This window comes from Homo sapiens, chromosome 15, assembly GCF_000001405.40.
Source record: "Homo sapiens chromosome 15, GRCh38.p14 Primary Assembly".
NCBI lineage: Eukaryota > Metazoa > Chordata > Mammalia > Primates > Hominidae > Homo > Homo sapiens.
In genome coordinates, this window is record NC_000015.10 from 42417625 (window position 1) to 42438871 (window position 21247).

The 21247-nt window shown below is 41.7% G+C and overlaps 1 protein-coding gene and 1 pseudogene across 13 annotated transcripts in view; both read right to left on the reverse strand.

Annotated features, from left to right (window-relative positions):
* The window catches only part of ZNF106 (zinc finger protein 106), a 78319-nt gene that overhangs the window by 4802 nt on the left and 52270 nt on the right, over positions 1-21247 (reverse strand). For 12 of the 13 annotated variants that reach the window (NM_001381997.1, NM_001366844.3, NM_001381998.1 and 9 more), the window contains 10 exons: positions 20988-21043; positions 19608-19753; positions 17760-17894; positions 10394-10510; positions 7210-7401; positions 6374-6436; positions 4877-4996; positions 4293-4364; positions 3437-3508; positions 181-327 (listed from right to left, as the gene is read on the reverse strand). In NM_001381997.1, coding sequence (NP_001368926.1) covers positions 181-327; positions 3437-3508; positions 4293-4364; positions 4877-4996; positions 6374-6436; positions 7210-7401; positions 10394-10510; positions 17760-17894; positions 19608-19753; positions 20988-21043 — 1120 coding nt within the window. The remainder of the gene's footprint in view (positions 1-180; positions 328-3436; positions 3509-4292; positions 4365-4876; positions 4997-6373; positions 6437-7209; positions 7402-10393; positions 10511-17759; positions 17895-19607; positions 19754-20987; positions 21044-21247) is intronic. The other variant, NM_001381996.1, reaches the window with a different exon arrangement.
* RNU6-188P (RNA, U6 small nuclear 188, pseudogene) lies at positions 9967-10073 on the reverse strand (annotated as a pseudogene).

Below are 21247 nucleotides of genomic sequence, written 5' to 3' on the forward strand. Positions count from 1 at the left end.
AATGACCTAATTCTTCATTTGCAACTTCATTAAGCTACCCCCCAAATCTCTGAATCATAAAAATAAAAAACCCTAGGCCCTCCCTATATATGGCAATTCTCAATAATAAAAAAGGTTTGCTAGCCCCTGCTCTGAGCAGTCTACTGAATCCCAGGCAAACCTCAAGTCCCACTAATGTACCTGTTTGGATCCTTTCCTAGCAGTGAAAAAAGCATCGCAGTTCTTCCAGCGACATTTCAGAGTCTGGAAGTTGGGATTAGTGTGGTCGGTCAGCAAGTGTTGTTTTAAATGATCTACAACGCCAAATATCAGAGAGCAACCATGCCACTGGAGAGAAAGAAAATGAGGAGACTCGGTGAAAAAGGGTGCAGTGAACGTGAATCAGAACAGCCCCCAGCTGGATCCCATAAGCACTATGGAAGCAAAAAGCCAGCCCCTTATTTCAAATTTATTCTTGGCTAGAAAAGACAACAAAGCCAAGGCAACCAAAATATCAGTATAATGAGGAACCTTGAAAATACTGGAAAAATCTTTTGATATTTTGAGAGGGCACAGCACTAACGTAGCAATTACAACTTCTTAAATCAGGAAAAGGCCAGCAAATGTTTATGGGTAAATTACCATGAAATTCTGTTTAAACTGTATTTTTTGATGTTGCCATCATAAAATTGAGTTTCTATCTTAGTTTATTCAATACAAAAGGCAAATACCTTTCCTATAATATCGAAAGGGCTTTTTTTTTTTTTTTTTTGAGATGGAGTTTCACTCCTGTTGCCCAGGCTGGAGTGCAGTGGCACGATCTCGGCTCACTGCAACCTCTGCCCCCTGCCCCCTGGGTTCAAGCAGTTCTGCTGCCTCGGCCTCCCAAATAGTTGGGATTACAGGCGTGCACCACCACGGCCAGTTAATTTTTTTTTTTTTTTTTTTTTTTTTTAGTAAAGACAGGGTTTCACCATGTTGGTCAGGCTGGTCTCAAACTCCCAACCTCAAGTGATCCGCCCATCTTGGCCTCCCAAAGTGCTGGGATTACAGGCGTGAGCCACCGCACCCCGCCCGAAAGGGCTATTTTTAACAATTCTAAGAACTGTTGAATGTAAATGTGAAAATAAAAATGTCTGATAAAGAAAACTACATTTGTGGAAATATTTATTGTAGAATACTGTGTTTGCCATGGAAGCCTGACTTTACTCACAACCTTTGTCACTTGAATCTCAATCTTATGAATACCTACTTATTTTTTTAAGCTATAATTTTACTTATAAACGTGGCTTAATTTCATGTATTAGAAAGCATAAGCTAGTGTCTTATGCTTCCTAAGTGGTGGCTCAGTGGGATTACACCCTGTAATCCCAGCACTTTGGGAGGCCGAGGTGGGTGGTTCACTTCAGCCCAGGAGCTCGAGACCAGCCTGGGCAACATAGTGAGACCCTTTCTCTACCAAAAAAAAAAAAAAAAAAATACAGGCCGGGCGTGGTGGCTCACACCTGTAATCCTAGCACTTTGGGATGCTGAGGCAGGCGGATCACCTGAGGTCAGGAGTTCAAGACCAGCCTGGCCAACATAGTGAAACCTGACTCTACTGAAAATACAAAAATCAGCCAGGCGTGTGGCATGTGCCTGTAATCTCAGCTATCCAGGAGGCTGAGGCAGGAGAATCGCTGGAACTTGGGAAGTGGAGGCTGCAGTGAGCCAAGATCGCACTCCAGCCTGGGTGACAGAGCGAGACTCTGTCTCAGAAAAAAAATAAATAATAAAAATAATACAAAAATTAGCTGGGCATAGTGGCACATGCCTACAGTCCCAGCTACCAGGGAGGCCGAGGTAGGGTGATTGCTGGAGCCTGGGAGGCTGAAGCTGCAGTGACTGTTGTGACCACACCGCTGCACTCCCGCCTGAGTAACATAACAAGACCCTGTCTCAAAAAAAAAAAGAAAAGAAAAACAAGGAAGCACAAAGACTCTCTGTCTTGGCTTTTCCCTACAGGCTTGTTGGTAAAGTCTTGTGATTCTAATTCGAACACATGTTTATTTCTTAAAAGTAATGCAGGCCGGGCACTGTGGCTCACGCCTGTCATCCCAGCACTTTGGGAGGCCGAGGCAGGTGGTTCACAAGGTCAGGAGTTCAAGACCAGCCTGGCCAACATGGTGAAACCCTGTCTCTACTAAAAATACAAAAATTAGCCAGGTGTGGTGGCGGGCGCCTGTGTTCCCAGCTACTAGGGAGGCTGAGGCAGGAGAATCGCTTGAACCAGGGAGTCGGAGGTTGCAGTGAGCCGAGATTGCACCACTGCACTCCAGCCTGGGCAACAGAGTGAGATTCTGTCTCAAAAAACAAAACAAAACAAAAAAAGTAATGCAAAGTTAAGTTTTTCCTCTGTCAGTACTACTCCATCCTTCTCTCTATAAAGCCAGAGGTATCTTCCCCATTTCTCTCTATAGATTAACTCTATTTGTGTACTCTGGATCCTGTCGTTCAGTAGTGCCTCCTTATCCATGGTTTCACTTTCTGAGGTTTTAGTTACCTGTGGTTAACTGATCTTCAAAAATATTAATTGGAAAATTCCCAAAATAAACAATTCTTGAGTTTTAAATTGCACATTATTCTGAGCAGTGTGATGAAATCTCCTGCCATCCCACTCCATCTTGCCCAGATGTGAACTGTCCCTCTGTCCAACATATCTACATTATATTCGCTACCGCCTGTTAGTCACTTAGCCCTCTTGATTATTACATCAAAAAAACATAGACCATATCCCCCTTGGATAAAGAGGAACTGCACTAGATTCTGCTTGCCTTCACTGAGAAAATTAAAAAGCAAAGATAGTAATATGTAAAGAGCTAAAAAGTCACTAAGCTGTGGGCAAGCGTAAAGTCGAATTTTAAAATGGAGAGTGTCAAGTTCACGCCATCAATGCTGAAAAGGATCTTAGGGTTTTAGGGAAAAGCTACCATTGTTAGAACTGACGAAAAAAAAATTAAGGCTTATAAGAAATAGTGTGAAAATTTTAAGGGTTAATCATCAGTCCTAACCCCAAAATAAAAACCACACAATTCAGCCTGATGAACTAAGGTTTAGAACTTACAAGACCTTAAATTTTTTTTATTTGCCTATTCCTCAAAAACCAATGAGGACACAAACCAAACCATTAACACTAGTAATCTCTGATGAGCGGGAGTAGAGGGGGCAGTGCCATTACCAAAATAAGCACTTCCGCTTTTTATTTCATATATTTCTGTACTGTTGTTTTCTAAGCATGTATTGATTTTATAATAAAACAAAACCACCACCGAGGAGACAACCTGTGATCTACAGTGTAAGGCATAAAGTAGATGCTAAAATATAAAAATGCTACACTGATGATAATGAAGATCTATCAATTAGCCTAGGGTGAAGCAACCTATAGAAGTCCAGTGACAGGAAGAGTTTCACTCCTTACCCAACAGCGGTAATTCTGCATCAGATTAAGCCTCACGGCCTGAATACTGCCATCATAACAGCCAGTGTAAATCTGGAGAAAGAGAGGTTTATAATATCAGACCAAAATACATACAAACTACAAAACACCCTCAAAACAAGAGTCACAAGCTCCTTGCAGCAGCTACAAGAAAACAAACACCTAAATCAAAACCAGCTCCAGAGCAGGAGAATGGGAAAGTATTTTCCAGATCTTCTAGTCTAGGTATTTTGCAGCTGTGCTCCTTAGAAAGCCACTTGGGACCAGGGCAGAGAGGAGTGGCAGGGCTCAGAGGCACCCACTTGTCCTTTATACTTTAACTGGGGTAGCCCTGGTTTCTATCGGGTGCTCTATGTTAGGCACCTGTATTTCCCTGGAAAAGAAAGGATTCTACTACTCAGAGTCTGAAAAACATCCATTCTGGTTCAACTCCATAACTTAAAAATAAAAAAAACAAGGCTTAGCAGGGTTACGTGAGTTGGTTTCTACTTTTAGGTCTGCTGTAACCATGCCACACTGGCCAAATCTCCTGACTCCATTCCAGTGTTCCATTCAGATCATGTCTCTGGAAAAGGCACCACTCAATTTTTTGAAGCATCTTAAATTTACCTTCTATTAAACTGTAGTTGATACTACCATTTTTATTGTAATAATTTTGGCTATTAATAGACAATGGAATATTCAACACTGTCCCCTGGTTACTTCCCTATTATGCCAAGAGATGGGAAGGTACTTAACAATGAGGCATATCAGAAGCAGATGTCACTTTTGGAAGTGACAAGAATTTTTTAGCAAACACATTCAAAAGCAAATATCTTACATGACAAATAACACTCACCATGCTTTTATGGATGGTCATACACATAATCATGTCTTTGTGTCCTCCATAAACTTGTAATCGATCATGAGACTTAGGCAGAAAAAAAAAAAGAGAATTGAAGTTATTTATACCTTGCGTTTAATAAGTACAGTCCCTAAAGGCCTTTGGCAGGTTTAAAACCACACCTGAGGCGCCAAGTGGAAGCACCAGTAGCATTCTAACAGAAATATAATCTAATGGCAATTTTTCTTTTACATTCTACTACTCAAGGAGGGAGCTGGTAATTAGAAGTAATAAAATCAATTTTGTTAGAATCAGAGTTTCAAACTTGAAACTGCACACAAGGAGAACTAGACAGGTTTTAAGAGACTGGAGTTGCTCTCCAGAAATTAAGTTTTGACACCCATGACCCAGATCAAGTATCTTAGAGTGGTTTCTGAAAGCTGCAGTCCACAGGCCAGCTGTTTCATAATTATCTAGAATGCTTGTGAAAATACAGATTCCTGGGTTCCATCCCACCTTACTGTATCAAAAATCAACACTAAACCCAAATAGACAATCTCCCCAAATCATTCAAGCAAAATACTGAATCTAAATTCTACCTGTAATTCATAGACACGAACAAATTTATCCAGGCAAGCAGTCACCATCACTTTTCCTAGGATATTCACCACAGTCACTGCATGATTGTGACCTTTATAGATCCGCACGAGCTCACCAGTCTATGTCAGAAGAGAAGTAAGAGTCACCAGACTGACTTTCGAGACTCCTTCCTGGTTATAATTCTATAATTCTAAGAGGCATAATTCTGAGGATACTGTACACATATAATTAATACAATTAATTGTATTAACTGTACAAATACAGTTAATACAACTGTATTAACTTTAATAGCAGAAGTATCCCACAATCATTTATTACATATACAAAATATATGGATTGTATCCTGATGGAAAGACTCTAATATTAGTCATGGAAAGAAAGCGGCCAAAACTCTATCTGTATTTATAGCTTTCCAAGTACTTTCACTTTTTTCATTTCACTGGATCTAGACCACAAGTCTATCAGGTGGGAATTATTCTGAGGTTATGAACCAGGAACTGAGCTTCAAAAAGCTGCCTCTATGACCTGAGAACAGTCTCTCAGCTGTTTCTGTTGTTCATTTTTTTAAGAGATGGGGTCTCACAGGCCGGGCACAGTGGCTCACACCTATAATTCCAAAACTTTGGGAGGCCGAGCTGGGCAGATTACTTGAGCTCAGGAGTTCAAGACCAGCCTGGGCAACATGGCAAGACTCCATCTCTACAAAAAATATAAAAAAATTAGCCAGGCATGGAGGCTCACGCCATTAGTCCCAGCTACTTGGGGGGCTGAGGTGGGAGGATCCCTTGAGCCTAGGAGGTTGAGGCTGCAGTGAGTCAAGATCGCACTACTGCACTCCAGCCTGGGGGACAAAGTGAGACCCCTATCTCAAAAAAAAAAAAGAAAGAAAGAAAGAAATGGGGTCTCACTTGGTCACCCAGGGTGGAGTGCAGTGGTGCAATCACAGCTCACTGCAGCCTTGAACTCCTGGGGCCAAATAATCCTCCCACCTCAGCCTCCTGAGTAGCTGGAATTACAGGACGCACTGCCATGCCCAGCTAATTAAAAAAAAATTTTTTTTAAGAGATGGGGCCACTATTTTGCCTAGGCTGGTCTCAAACTCCTGGCCTCAAGTGATCTTCCCACCTCAGCCTTCTGAGTAGCTGGCATTACAGGTGACAGCCATTGGGCCCAGCTCTCAGCTGTTTTTACTAGTTCTATTTTAACTACATATCATATCCACTTTCTGGAAGCCTCAGCTGCTCAGTTTATTTCAAGTTTAAATGAGGCATTCAAACTAAACCTTACATAAAGCCTGTCTGTCCACCATTAAAAACTTTGATGAGGTAGAATTTCTAAATTACACAATATTATCCAAGAGCATATGCACAGGGATGATTACGAATCCCTTCGGTGGATAAAGGGCTTAATTTAAATTGCAAGAGGTTTAAGAAAACCATCAAGCTTTAACCATTATTTTATTCACAGTTTCTTTACACAACACCAACACAGCTTACGTGAATGTTGTGAGCATGGACTGACTGATCACTGGAGCCACTGAACACGAGATCATTCACCACCTTAAAGAAAAAATTAAACAAGTCAGATTCTGTATACGGTTCTTAATTTTCTCTATAACTTGTAATACACATTGGCAAATTCTAATTTCCATCCTATTTTGAGATGAGCACGATGAACTAGGTATAAAAGTTTCTCAGATGAATTTTCTCAGCTGAAACTTACACCCCCCTACCAAGCATGCTAATGAACTGACAATGTATTATTACGTTTGTTACCTTTCCAGAATGATTATGAAGCAGCCTAGAAGGGCATTCGAGTATACCCACAGTATAACAAAATACACTCATTGTTTCTCAAATGAAAGTGCATCACTTGGTGATGTTGGTGTAAAGAAAAGGTTTGCAATCTCCTTGCTCTTTCCAAGGTGGTGCTTCTAAATGATGCATGAGACAACACGGGAAATGCCATTTAAAACCCTTCTTTGTTTTGTTTTGCTTTGCTTGAGTCAAGGTCTCACTCTGTTGCCCATGCTAGAGTACAGTGGCACAATCATGGCTCACTGCAGCCTCGATCTTTGGTGCTCAAGTGATTCTCCCACCTCAGCCTCATAAGTAGTACAGGTGCACACCACAACATCCCGCTAATTTTTGTATTTTTTTGTAGAGATCGAGTTTTGCCATGTTGCCCTGGCTGGTCTCGAACTTCTGAGCTCAAGCGATCCCCCTGCCTCACCCTCCCAAAGTGCTGGGACTACAGACGTGAGCCACCTCGCCTGGCCTCAAAACCCTTCTATTTGTGCCAGACAACTCCGATTCTCTTGCACTGTACTTGCCTTCATGCAAAGAATGGTTTTGCTATGGCCCTCCAGAGTTCTGAGGAGCAGTCCATTCCGGGCATCGCGTACACTAATTGTGCAGTCATAAGACCCCACGACCAGCAGTTTTCGGGCACCTTCCTGAGCTGTAGCAAGACAGCTGACTGCCCGAGGGCCATGGCATTCAAAGATCTCAAGTCGTTTGTTGTTCTGGAAAATAAGCCAAGATTACAGCTAAAACCAACTTAGCTGGAAAATTCAACTAACCAACATCATTACCTTGGTACAAACTCATTTCTGTCACCTGTACTCAAATTTTCATACCCACTCTGCAGCCTTAACTTATCCATCTCCGCTATTTCCCACTCCAACCCTTTTTACTGAACCTCCCCCATCCCCTGATCTGAGGAGGGCAAACGCTTACATTATAAACTCATTTATAACTTCAACCCACACCATCTCCATCCTAATTAGAAACTGGTTCTCTTTTTATGCTTTCTTTCACCACCTGTAAGTTAATAATAATGAAGGGTGAACCTTTTTTTTTCAAACTCTAGTGCATATTCCCTGACACCGACCCAGGAACTATTTCTGTCATCCAAAATTTAGGCAATCTATGTGTCATGCTGTTTCCAAAAATCTCTATTTAGAATTACCTTCCTAGGTAATTTCAGTAAGTCTCAAATTCTCCACTTTTTTTTTTTGAGACGGAGTCTCGCTCTGTCGCCCAGGCTGGAGTGCAATGGCGCCATCTCAGCTCACTCCAACCTCCGCTTCCTGGGTTCAAGTGAGTCTCCTGCCGCAGCCTCCTGAGTAGCTGGGATTACAGGCGCCCGCCATCACACCTGGCTAATTTTTGTATTTTTGTAAAGACAGGGTTTCACCATGTTGGCCAGGATGGTCTTGAACTCCTAACCTCAGGTGATCTGCCTGCCTCAGCCTCCCATTACAGGCGTGAGCCACCACACCTGGCCTAAATTCTCCACCTTATTATGATGTTCTTCTGGCACCTGGTTCCATGTCATCTCTCACAACATCATTTAGTAGACTATAGAAGCCTAATTATATCAGAGTGGTAGGGTCACATCCTGAATCCCAAAACATTCTTTTATCTCAGATTTTAGACTTCTTTCCTTCATCCCCCAGCCAACCCTGTTCATTAAGCCTCCCACTTCCACAGAAGTTTTTTAGGTGCATGCCTGGAGTAAGGCTCCTAAAACTAAGCAGAAAGCGACAGCTGGGAGCCTACATTGCTGAGCAATGATTTCAACAGTGTTGAAGTGCTAGGGAGACAGACTGAAAGGAGGTCAGGACCCAAAGGTGGACCGGCCCTGGTAAACAGTCCTGGCTCTCTGTTGTGACTCCAGAAGCACTACATTCTAAGAGTATGGGCAACCTAGGAAAAAGCCCAGCCCTCATCTTCAAAATTCACATCTATGCAGAGATTCTCAAATGTCTGTCTCTAGGACCATCTTCTCCAGGGCTTTTCAATCCTTTAAAGAACTTTTCCATTTGAATTTCTTGTCATCATCTCATCATTTTGCCTCAAGATTGTCTTGCTCCTTACTTCTGTCTACTACTTAAAAAAAAAAAAAAGAGAGAGAGACAGGGTCTCACTCTGTCAGCCAGTCTTGAGTACAATGGTGTGATTATAGCTCACTGCAGCCTTGAAGTCCTGGCCCCAAGCAATCCACCTGCCTCAGCTTCCTGAGTAGCTGGGACTCCAGGCGTGTGCTACCATACTTAGCTTTTTTTTTTTTTTTTTTTTTGAGAAACAGAGGTCTTGCTTTGTTGCCCAGGCTGGTCTCGAACTTCTGGGCTCAAGCAATCCTCCTACCTCAGTCTCCCAAAGTGCTGGGATTATAGGCATGAGCCACCATACCCATCCACTTCTGTCTACTTCTGATAATCTCACGAAAGAGAAGGTAATTAGGCAATTATCACGTTTTAGCCTTTAAAATATTTTAAATTTACTTTCCTCTCCATTTCTATTGCCCTAATCCAATTTAATCAGACTTAGAACTTGTCTGCATCTAAAATGCAAAAATCTTCACTAATTGCCCTTCTGTGATGTATCATATCGAACAGACCAAATCACTTGGCACTTGATTATATACGTGCTAAATTCTTCTCACTTGATCTTAAGTTTCCTGTAGGCAGAAACCATGACATATTTCAATGCACACCTTCTGTTAGTTCCAGCTAGCATGCAGCCTATGAATGACACTGTAATAGTACCATTCTAACACATGGTTACAAGATGACCAGAGGATATGGTGCCACAACTAATTAGCAATCAAACCTATCGATTCTACCTCTTGGATTATATATTTCCTCCATTCCCTTCTCTTCATCCTGTTTAACCTTTTTCATGTCAGCTTCCACTACAAAACCTCCTAAATGGTCTCCCTGCCTTTGCTAATACCAATCTTTCCCAATCTTATCAACTCCAGTGACTTTTTCTAAAATATAATGGGATCATGTCTCTCATACTTTACAGCCTGTAAGATGAAGTCCAACTACCTTAACAAAGCACACAGGGCCATCAAAAACTAAACCTTATCCTGGGGCCTAGCACATAACAGATGCTCAATAAAGGCTAGGTCAACAAATGAATTTATCTCTGGTTTAGGAAAGAATGAAGCCATATGGGCATTACAGCAAACCTCTTAGTTCACCTCACAGATGGGCCGCCCTCATGAAACCCTAAACCAGTGCCAAACCACACCAATGTCATACTCAACGGAATTTAAGTTCATTTTTCTTCATTTTTTTTAAAATATGTAATGCTTCATGAATTTGCGTGTCATCCTTGTGCAGGGACCATGCTAATCTTCTCTGTATCATTCCAATTTTAGTGTATGTGCTGTCAAAGTGAGCACTTAAGTTCATTTTTTATGATGTCATTCTTAAATTGAGACAGACTAGTTTAATACATGACTCATTATTTGGCCCCAAATCTTCAGACTTGGTTTAATTTAGTGGAGTTACATTTTGGTCCTGGAACATTTGAGTAGAAGCAGAGAGAATGGAGGATCTTGTTTCACTTACATCAGAAGATAACTGTGTTTGAGTAGTGGCTAATTCTGCTGCTTCCTCACAGAAGAAAATAGGAAAATCCCTGCCTGCTACTTCTTCCCACACATGCTCACACTGTTTTCAAGTGCATGGGAAGTAAGCCTTTTCTCCTCCAACCACTAACCTTTATGTTGAAGGTGACCACAGTGCCATTTGCCAGTCCCGCATAGAGGATTCGCCATCTACTGTGGAGGCAGAGGACCCGGTCTTCCAGCTGTAACTGCTCCACACACTCTCGGCTCTGATAAAAGCACACAACCTTTAATCAGCAGAGGGTACTGGCAAATGAGATGTCAAAAACAATTCCTCCAGAAAGCAGACTTTAAAATGACTCTTATGCGGAAGAAAGTGTGACATCCTCTATTTTGTAGGGGACTATCTTAGATCTGTTTCTCCTTTGAAATATGAGGCCTAAGACTTCCAAGCTGTAGGTAATATGAAAAATAAACATAAATTCTAGTAATGTTACCCATGTTTCTAACTTAGAATGTAGAAATTCTTCAAAGGGTACTATGAGTTAGGTCTTAGCCTCTTAAATTAAGAGGCCAAATATAAAAGACAAAGCTCTATTTTGACATCTAAAGAGGAAAATCAGGATTATAGTTATATATTTGATAAATGCACTAATCAAATATGTGGTTTTCCGCACATGATTCTCTATTTCAATAGCTCCCAAATGTCTCCTTCAAACTGGTGCCAGGTTAGCTGGGCTAAATTACTCAAGAGGCTTTTAAAATACATAGAACCCAAGCTCCAACCCCATCCCTGAGACTCTTAATTCAGTGGGCTCTAGAATCTGTGTTTTAAAAAATTTCCCTAGTAATTCAGATGCACATGCAGATTTAATACCCACTGTTTGATCTGACCTTCAAAAAACGATTTCTTTTTGAGACGGAGTCCTGCTCTGTCGCCCAGGCTGGAGTGCAGTGGTGCGATCTCGGCTCACTGCAAGCTCCACCTCCCCGGTTCACACCATTCTCCTGCCTCAGCCTCCCGAGTAGCTGGGACCACAGGCGCCCGCCACCACGCCCAGCTAATTTTTTGTATTTTTTTAGTAGAGACGGGGTTTCATCGTATTAGCCAGGATGGTCTCGATCTCCTGACCTCGTGATCTGCCCGCCTCGGCCTCCCTTACATGCATGAGCCACTGTGCCCGGCCAGAAAACGATTTCTACCAATTTCCTCCAACTAGATTGTACTAGCAAATCTCTTTATCTAGAACCAAGAATTGGGACAGGACATAGTAAATTCAAAATTTGTTGTTGAGGCCGGACACAGTGGCTCATGCCTGTAATCCTACACGTTGGGAAGCCGAGGCGGGTGAATCACGAGGTCAGGAGATTGAGACTATCCTGGCTAACACGGTGAAACCCTGTTTCTACTAAAACTACAAAAATTAGCTGGGCATGGTGGTGCGTGCTTGTAGTCCCAGCTACTTGGGAGGCTGAGGCAGGAGAACTGCTTGAACCACGGAGGCGGAGGTTGCAGTGAGCAGAGATCAGGTCACCACACTCCAGCCTGGGCGACACAGCGAGACCCCGTCTCAATTAAAAAAAAAAAAATTTGTTGTTGAATGATACTGAAGACCCAGGTGTAGCTTTTTAAGTGGGCTTGGCTGTAGATATTAAAATCAAGATGGTTACAATTGGGTAGGATGAGAAAAGCTGTGGCTTGTCAAATCCATTGGTCTCGTCTCCCAACCTTCTTTCATACCTAAAAGAGTCAGTCACTTAAATTATTCAATTTCTCCCCTGAAAAAATCACAAACATAAGTGCCATATATGAAATTGTAAGATACAGCAAAAGACAGTAAATATGCCTAAATATTAAGATTCATGTTGCTTCCCATTAATCCTATGAGATCTTTTGTAACTTTATAGGGGAAATTGAACATTACATAGCAATAAAAAAGGAACAAACTATTGGCACATGTACCAATACAGATGAATTTTCAAACATTATGGTGAGCTAAAGCTAGACATAAAAGAACACATGTGGTACAGTTATACTGATATGACAGCTAAGCACAGAGAAAAGTAATCTATGACAGGAGTCAAAATAGTGATTAGCTTTAGAAGAAGGTTATGCCCAGGGAGGCATTTGAGGGAAGCTTCAGGGCTATGAAATGGTCTACGTTTTGATCTTTGTGGTAGTTATACAAACAAATATCTGCAGAAAAATTCATCAAGCTGTATACTTAAAATCTGTGTGCTTTACTGTATGAAGTTATGTCTCAATGTTAAAAAATGGTTACAAAATCTTTTTCACTAGTGTACGGTCCTGCTATGCCAAAGACTACACGTTAGAACCCTTAATACTGAAAAGCCTTTTAAAAGAGTTTTTGCTAATATTGTGAGTAAAAATGGTATTCCTTGTACTTTGGTTTTAATTTGCATTTATTTGCAAGATTGTATTTTTTTCAGTTATTTGTTATTTCTTTTTAAGAGACTTGCTTGTTTTTTGTCAATGTATGTTTAGGGATTTACTTATGTATTTGTTTTTTGAAAGACAAGGTCTCGCTCTGCCTCCTGGCTAGAGTGCAGTGACGTGATTACTGCTCACTGCAGCCTTGACCTCCGAGGCTCAAGGAATCCTCCCACCTCAGCCTCCCGAGTAGCTGGAACTACAGGCGTGGGCCATCGCGCATGCCTAGTTAATTTTTAAATTTTTTTGGAGAGATGAGGTCTCGCCATGTTGCCTAGGCTGTTCTTGAACTCCTGGGCTCAAGCGATCCTCCCAACTTGGCCTCCTAAAGTGTTAAGATTATAGGCATGAACCACTGCACCTGGCTATAGGAATTTAAAGGTGTAAGCCCCTTACAACATATACCAAACCTGTTTGTCCTATCTTAAGTTACGGCTTTTCCCCCTGGTTTTATGTAAGACTATTTATTACCAAAATATGCTTACAATTTTTTTTTACAAGTTTGTATAATTTTTTACAGGTTTGTACAAGTCGCCTAGCTAGGCTTGAACTCCTGGCCTCAAATGATCCTCCCACCTCAACATCCCAAAGCACTAGAATTACAGGCATGAGCCACTGTGCCCAGCCTCTTTTTCTAGTTTCTTGGATTTTAAAGCTTTCTTCTTTTCTAATAGAAGCAATTAAAACCACGAATTTCCCTTTTAGCAGTGCTTTAGCTGCATCCTACAAATGATACGTTGCATTTTCATTTAGTTAGGTATTTTCTAATTTCCCTCGTGATTCCTTCTTTGAACCACAATAATTTAGAAGTATCTTATTTTCATCTCCCTATATTTGGGGATTTCTTAGATTTCTGTTACTGCTTTCTAATAAATGTCATTGTGGTTAGAGAACATACTTTGTATGATTTTGGTGCTTTTAAATTGATTGAAATTTATTTAATAGCCCAGCATGTGGTCCTGGTAAATGTTCTATGTGCACATTCTTGAAAAAAATGTGTATTCTGCAATTTTGAGTGGAATGTCCTATAAATGTTAATTGGATCTTGATCGTTAATGATGTTATACGGTTCTTTTTTTTTTTTTTTTTTCTTGAAATGAAGTTTTTCTCTGTTGCCCAGGCTGGAGTACAGTGGTGCAAATCTCAGCTCACTGCAACCTCCACCTCCCAGGTTCAAGTGATTCTCCTGCCTCAGCTTCCTGAGTAGCTGGGATTACAGGCACGTACCACCAGGCCCAGCTAATTTTTTTGTATTTTTATTTTTGTTTATTTATTTTTTGAGACGGAGTTTACTTATTTTTTCAGACGCACCACACCCAGCTAATTTTTGTATTTTTAGTAGAGATGGGTTTCACCATGTTTTTCAGGCTGGTCTCAAACTCCTGACCTCAGGTGATATGCCCACCTTGGCCTCCCAAAGTGCTGGGATTACAGGCATTAAGCCAACCACAGCCAGCCTAATTTTTTTGTATTTTTAGTAGAGATGTGGTTTCGCCATGTTGGCTAGGCTGGTCTCGAACTCCTGACCTCAAGTGATCCACCCGCCTCAGCCTCCCAAAGTGCTGGGATTACAGGCATGAGCCACCACACCCGGCCAGTGTTGTACAGTTCTTGTATATCCTTCATGGTTTTTTATTTAGTAGTCTATCAATTATTGAGAAAGGGTTGTTAATGTCCCCAACTATAACTGTGAATTTGTCTACTCCTTTCAGTTCTATCAGTTATTGTTTCACGTATTTTAGAGCTCTGTTATTAGGTACCTGTACTTATAATTGTTATATCTTTCGGGTGTGCTGACTCATCATTATGGGATATCCTCCTTTCTCCAGTAGTATTCCTTGTCTTTTTCATTTTTTAAAGGGACAGCGTCTCACTCTGTCACCCAGGCTGGAGTGCAGTGGCATTGTCATAGCTCACTATAACCTCAAATTCCTCAGCTCAAATGATCCTCCCACCTCAGCCTCCCAAGTAGCTAGGACTACAGGTACATATAACCACGCTTGCCTCATTTTTTTATTTTTTGTGGAGACGGGATCTCATTATGTTACCGAGGCTGGTCTGGAACTTACAGTCTCAAGTGATCCTCCCACCTCAGCCTCCCAAAGTGGGATACAGGCATGAGCCGCAGTGCCCAGTCACGTGTCTTAAAGTCTGCTTGCTCAATATTAACATAACCACTCCAGCTCTGTTACTATTTGCATAGTATATCTATTTCCATTCTTATTCTTTTACTTTCAACCTATTTTGTCTTTACATTTAAAGTATGTCTCTTTGCCTGGGCATGGTGGTGCATGCCTGTAATCCCAGCACTGTGGGAGACCAAAGCAGGAGGACTGCTTGTGCCCAGGAGCTTTAGAATAGCCTAGGCAACATAGCAAGACCGTATTTCTAAAAAAAAAAAAAAAAAAAAAATTTAATTGGCAAACCATAGTGACATGTGCCTGTAATCCCAATTTACTCGGGAGGCTGAGGCGGAAGGATCACTTGAGCCCAGGAGTTCGAGGCTGCAATGAGTTATGATCACGCCACTGCACCCTAGCCAGGGTGACAGGCCAAGACCTTGTCTCAAAAATAAAAGTGTGTCTCTTGTAGACAACAAAGATTTTGATGTTACTTTTGTATCCAGCCAATTTCTGTCTTTTGATTTTAGTGTCAGTTCACTCACATTTCATATAATTATTAAATATGGGTAAATTTAGGTCTCCAATTTGCTATTTGCTTTCTATTTGTCTCATTTTTATTCCTCTATTTCTCCTTCTACCTTCTCTTGTATTAAGTATATTTTTATTTATTTATTTATTTTTTTGAGACGGAGTCTTGCTCTGTCGCCCAGGCTGGAGTGCAGTGGCGCAATCTCGGCTCACTGCAAGCTCCGCCTCCCGGCTTCACACCATTCTCCTGCCTCAGCCTCCCGAGTAGCTGGGACTACAGGCGCCTGCCACCACGCCTGGCTAATTTTTCGTATTTTTAGTAGAGACGGGGTTTCACCGTGTTAGCCAGGGTGGTCCCGATCTCCTGACCTCGTGATCCGCCCACCTCGGCCTCCCAAAGTGCTGGGATTACAGGCGTGAGCCACCGCGCCCAGCCTTAAGTATATTTTTAGCTCACCATTTTAATTCCTCAATTGACTTTCTAAGCTCAATTTCTTTGCATTGTTCTTTTTTTTTTCTTTTCTTTTTTTTTTGGACAGAGTCTTGCTCTGTCGCCCAGGCTGGAGTGCAGTGGCATGATCTTGGCTCACTGAAATCTCTGCCTCCTGGGTTCAAGTGATTCTCCAGCCTCAGCCTCCCGAGTAGCTGGGATTACAGGTGTGCGTCACCACACCCGACTAATTTTCATATTTTTAGTAGAGACAGGGTTTCACCAGGTTGGCCAGGCTGGTCTCACACTCCTGACCTCATGATCCTCTTTGCATTATTCTTTTAGTAATTACTCTAGGGCAGTATTTCTCAAAGTGCGGTCCCCAAACCATCTGCATCAGTATCACCTAATAACTTATTAGAAATGTAAATTCTTTTTGTTTGTTTTGGTTAATTTTTATGCTTTTTTGAGGCAGGTTCTTGTTCTGTCACCCAGGCTGTAGTGAAGTGACACAAGCACAGCTCACTATAACCTTGAATTCCTGGGCTCAAGTGATCCTCCCACCTCAGCCTCCCAAACAGCTAGGACTATAGGTGTGCATCACCACACCCAGCTGATTTTTATTTTTTATAGAGACAGGGTCTTGCTATGTTGCCCAGGTTGGTCTTGAGCTCCTGGCCTCAAGCAATCCTCCTGCTCTGGCCTCCCAAAGTGCTGGGATTACAGACATGAACCATAGTACCTCGCCTAGAAATGTAAATTTGGGAGCTTGATCACAAGCCTACTGGATCAGAAACTCTGGCAAGGGCTGCATGTGGTGGCTCACGCCTGTAATCTCAGCACTTTGGGAGGCCAAGGTGGGAGGACTGCCTGACCTCAGGAGTTCAAAACCAGCCTGAGCAACATGGTGAGACCCTGTACCTTAAAAAACAAAAAACAAACAAACAAAAAAAACACCTCTGGGAGTGGGGACCAGTAATATGTGTTTTAACAAGCTGTCCAGGTCACTGTGATGCACACTAAAGTTGTGAGCCAGTGCCTCTAGGGATTATATTTTTAAAATTATAACAAGCTAGTTCAAATTAATACTTATTCCCAGTAAAATATAAGATCCTTGTCCTAGCACAGCTCCATTCCCTCCCCCTTCTTTATGTTCCTGTTATCACATATATTCCACCTATGTTATAAACTTAATGATAGTCATAAATTCTGCTTCACATACCTCCATCTTTTAAAGAAATTAAAAACATATTGTATATAATTTTAAATGTAATTTTCTCATGTCTTTCAGTGCATTTAGGTTTAAAAAACTCTCAGAGGAGATGTCCATTTCTAATTCTGCAGATTTAAAAAGTTTATACATTTTGCTCTTTTTTTTTTTTTTTTTTTCCTGAGACGGAGCTTCGCTCTTGTTGCCAAGGCTGGAGTGCAGTGGCACAATCTCGGCTCACTGCAACCTCCACCTCCTGGGTTCAAGTGATTCTCCTGCCTCAGCCTCCCAAGTAGCTGCAATTACAGGCATGCACCACCATGCCTGGCTAATTTTGTATTTTTAGTAGAGACAGGGTTTCTCCATGTTGGTCAGGCTGGTCTCAAACTCCCAACCTCAGGTGAATCCACCCGCCTCTGCCTCCCAAAGTGCTGGGATTAGAGGCGTGAGCCACTGAGCCCGGCCTACATTTTTCTCTTTATTCTATCTAGGATTAGTTTTGACATATGATATGCATAACATTTATGGCAAAGACCAAGGAAGGTATATTATTAATAGTAGGAAGTGAAAAAATACTGGTGGAGAGAGACAGAAAATATGGTTTATGTGTAAGTCTCATATCTACCTAGGGCTACAACAATGTGCTAAACATTGTTTAGAAGCAAAAAGGAGATGGTGGGTAGAATGAAGCGTCTGCCACAGTGTCTCCACTCCACACAGTAAATACAAAGGCGACTCAATATGAACCACTTTGGATTTCTCTGGACCCACCTACCTTAACATTATAGCAGCGGATGGTATGGTCACTGGACCCGGTGTAAAGGGCAGCATTCTTCCCGGAGGTCTGAGTAACCAGGAGGCAGTTAACTTTGGAGGTATGACCCTCAAAGACACCAATACATTTCCGACTCTAAAGTTTAAGCACAGACCAGATTATTACTTATGAGATATAGGAGGATTAGATAATATATTTCCTCAACAAAAAGATGCTAAAACATTCAGTTCACTGCTGTATCCTCATGTCTAAAACAGCACCTGGTACACAAAAGATGCTCAGTAAATGTATGTTCACCAAGTGCCTAGCAAACAGTCACAGGCAATGAGGTATCTGAAAGTATATGTTAGTTGAGCCATACCAGAAAATACTTATGGCAACACTGTAAGACAGCCAGAATTTTAATTAACGTTTAGGGCAAAGCTTTCTGACATATGGACCAAGGACCTAGCAAATCCAAACTGCAGCTAATTTCCCACAAAAGATGAGCATTTGATAAGCAGTTTGTGAGAATGCACCATGGTATTCAAAAACGTCAGGTGCTATCACAGGTCTAGTGGTTCTGGTGTTGTTTCTTTTTTTTTTTTTTTGACAGAGTCTCGCTCTGTCCCCCAGGCTGGAGTGCAGTGGCGCGATCTCAGCTCACTGCAAGCTCTGCCTCCTGGGTTCACACCATTCTCCTGCCTCAGCCTCCCAAGTAGCTGGGACTACAGGTGCCCGCCACCACCCCCGGCTAATTTTTTGTATTTTTAGTAGAGATGGGGTTTCACCATGTTAGCCAGGATGGTCTCAATCTCCTGACCTCATGATCCACCCACCTTGGCCTCCCAAACTGCTGGGATTATAGGTGTGAGCCACTGTGCCCGGCCACTGGTGGTGTTTCTTATGGGTACATTCCAAATGTTATCTCAGTGCACATACTGAGATCTATTTAGAATGTACATATATACATACACATACATATTTTGATATCCTGTTCCCCTAGATCTTACACTTATACATCCTGGTAGCACTGCTTCCTTTTTTCAGTCATTCGTGTTAATCCTCATATCATTAAGCTAAAGGAATCTACACACCTGTTGCCTATATAGCAAACACATTTTCCTGGTCCATCATCTAACTTTTTAATTTTCACTGACTCTAGCAATTTTAAATATTTTCATGGTATTCATTCAGACATCATGTTCTTCAAATTTCTTAAGCTTTCATTGTTCATAAACATAATTAGTTTATTAACAAATTCAAATTCAAAACTCAAAAGTTCATTCTTTTGAGAGTAATAAGCATCAGATAATACTAAGTGTGAGGCAGTGGAAAAGTGTTGCTCTCCTTAATAACTTGAACTCTGTAATCAATCACTTGTCAGGGAAAATACCTCCTCCAGTACTTCCCCATATTCACTTCATCCCTCCTCTATTATGTAGCTGCTATGCAAGTGACCCCATTACCAACTCCAGCATTGGGACCTGAACAGTCCAAGACCACTGGTGTAATCCCAACCCCCTTTGCCACAGGCAAAGGTGATCGTTCAGGGAGTAAAACACAGGACCCTTCTGTGCTGGTGGGAGGGAAAAAGAGACTCCAGTGGCTCCTGACATTTACCCTGTAAGCAGGAGGGGAACTAGCTTTCAGGAAGAGGTGATACCAGAGAAGGCAGAGTAGGGAGACAAAAAGAAATTAAGTCCCCAGTGACCTTGCTGAGCTTCTGGATTAAATGCATCTAAAGTCAATCTCAGGCCCACCCCTTCCTTCAGACAGCCAACAAATTCCCTTTATTGTTTAAAAAAGTATAAACTGGATTTTCCAAAACCTGCAACCAAAAACATTCTACATGTTCTATCAACTTACCACCAGATTATAAACCCGAACAGTTTTATCTGCTGAACAGGTATATAGCAAGTTCCCAAATATCTGAATTGCATTTACGGCAGCTTGGTGTCCCTCAAAGCTTCCTTCTGTGGGTTCATCATCATCTCCTGGCTCTGAAGATATTTCTGGAAAACAAGAATAGGTTTCAGAGACATGTCTGCTAGAGTCTGAAAAGATACTCAAAAATCAGAACTATTATACAATACAGTAGTCCCTAGATTAAACCAAAAGTAGATCCCTTAAATCTTAGTTCCCCTATCAGACTACTACAATTTTCAATACCCATCTTCACTATGAAGACTGCATGATAAGCAAAGGCAGAGAAGGCCTTTCACTTAGGAAAAAGATAGATAATTATATAATGAGCTTTTGGGCCAGGCGTGGTGACTCACACCTGTAATCCCAGCACTTTGGGAGGCCAAAATGGACGGATCACCTGAGGTCAGGAGTTGGAGACCAGCCTAGCCAACATGGTGAAACCCCATCTCTACTAAAAATACAAACATTAGCCAGGTGTGGTAGCGTGAGCCTGTAGTCCCAGTTATTTGGGGAGGCTGAGGCAAGAGAATCACTTGAACCCAGAGGCAGAGGTTGCAGTGAGCCAAGATCACACCACTGGACTCCAGCCTGGGCGACAACGACTCCGTCTCAAAAAAAAAAAAAAAAAGAAAAAGAGCTTTGAGTGATACTTGGAAGGTATCCAATCTCTCCCACACTTCCAAAAAGTTATTTCTTTGAGTAATGTAGTATTCCTTAAGCAGTTCCTTCTGAAAGCAAATATCCTTAGAGCCAATGAAACCTTAATACTAATTAGTTGAACAGATAAGGGAGCCGGATAAGACAGATGAGAAAGGCCAGGCATGGTGGCTCACGCCTGTAGTCCCAGCACTTTGGGAGGACAAGGCAGGAGGATCACTTGAGGCCAGGAGTTCGAGACCAGCCTGGCCAACATGACGAAACCCTGTCTCTACTAAAAATACAAAAAAAAATTTGCCAGGCGTGATGGCGCGCACCTGTGGTCCCAGCTATTTGGGAGGCTGAGGCAGGAGAACTGCTTGAACCTGGGAGGTGGAAGTTGCAGTGAGTAGAGATAGCGCCACTGCACTCCAGCCCAGGTGACAGAGCAAGACTCTGTTACAACCAGTCAATCAATCAGATAGATGAGAATAAGAATCTGAAAGACCAGGATTTGAGGTTTTAAGAATATCAGAACTGTTGATCAAGGCAATCCTCTTGGTGATAAACCCCTCCCCATTCTCCTATTCTATAAATATATTTAAGTAGGTTTAAATCCTGGCTTTAATATTTACAAGGCTTTTAATTCTGTGGTTAACTTAAATAAAACTGAACAGCAAATACCTGAAGAATTCTTTGATCCTTTTATGGAGGAGATCACAGTCTGAGTTTCTGCCACACTACAAAATAATAGCAAAAGTGTTCTCAGCATCTGTGTGAACAGGGCAGGTAGTAAAAGTAAAAATTTCTGACTCAAAGGATTTTTCTAAACAATGGGCAAAGTAGCAATGATATAAGAGATTAGATTTTCCATCTGAAATTTCTTAATGAAGGGAAATAAAAGCAGAGTGAATATTTATAACACAGTCAAAAGAGAAAGCAGA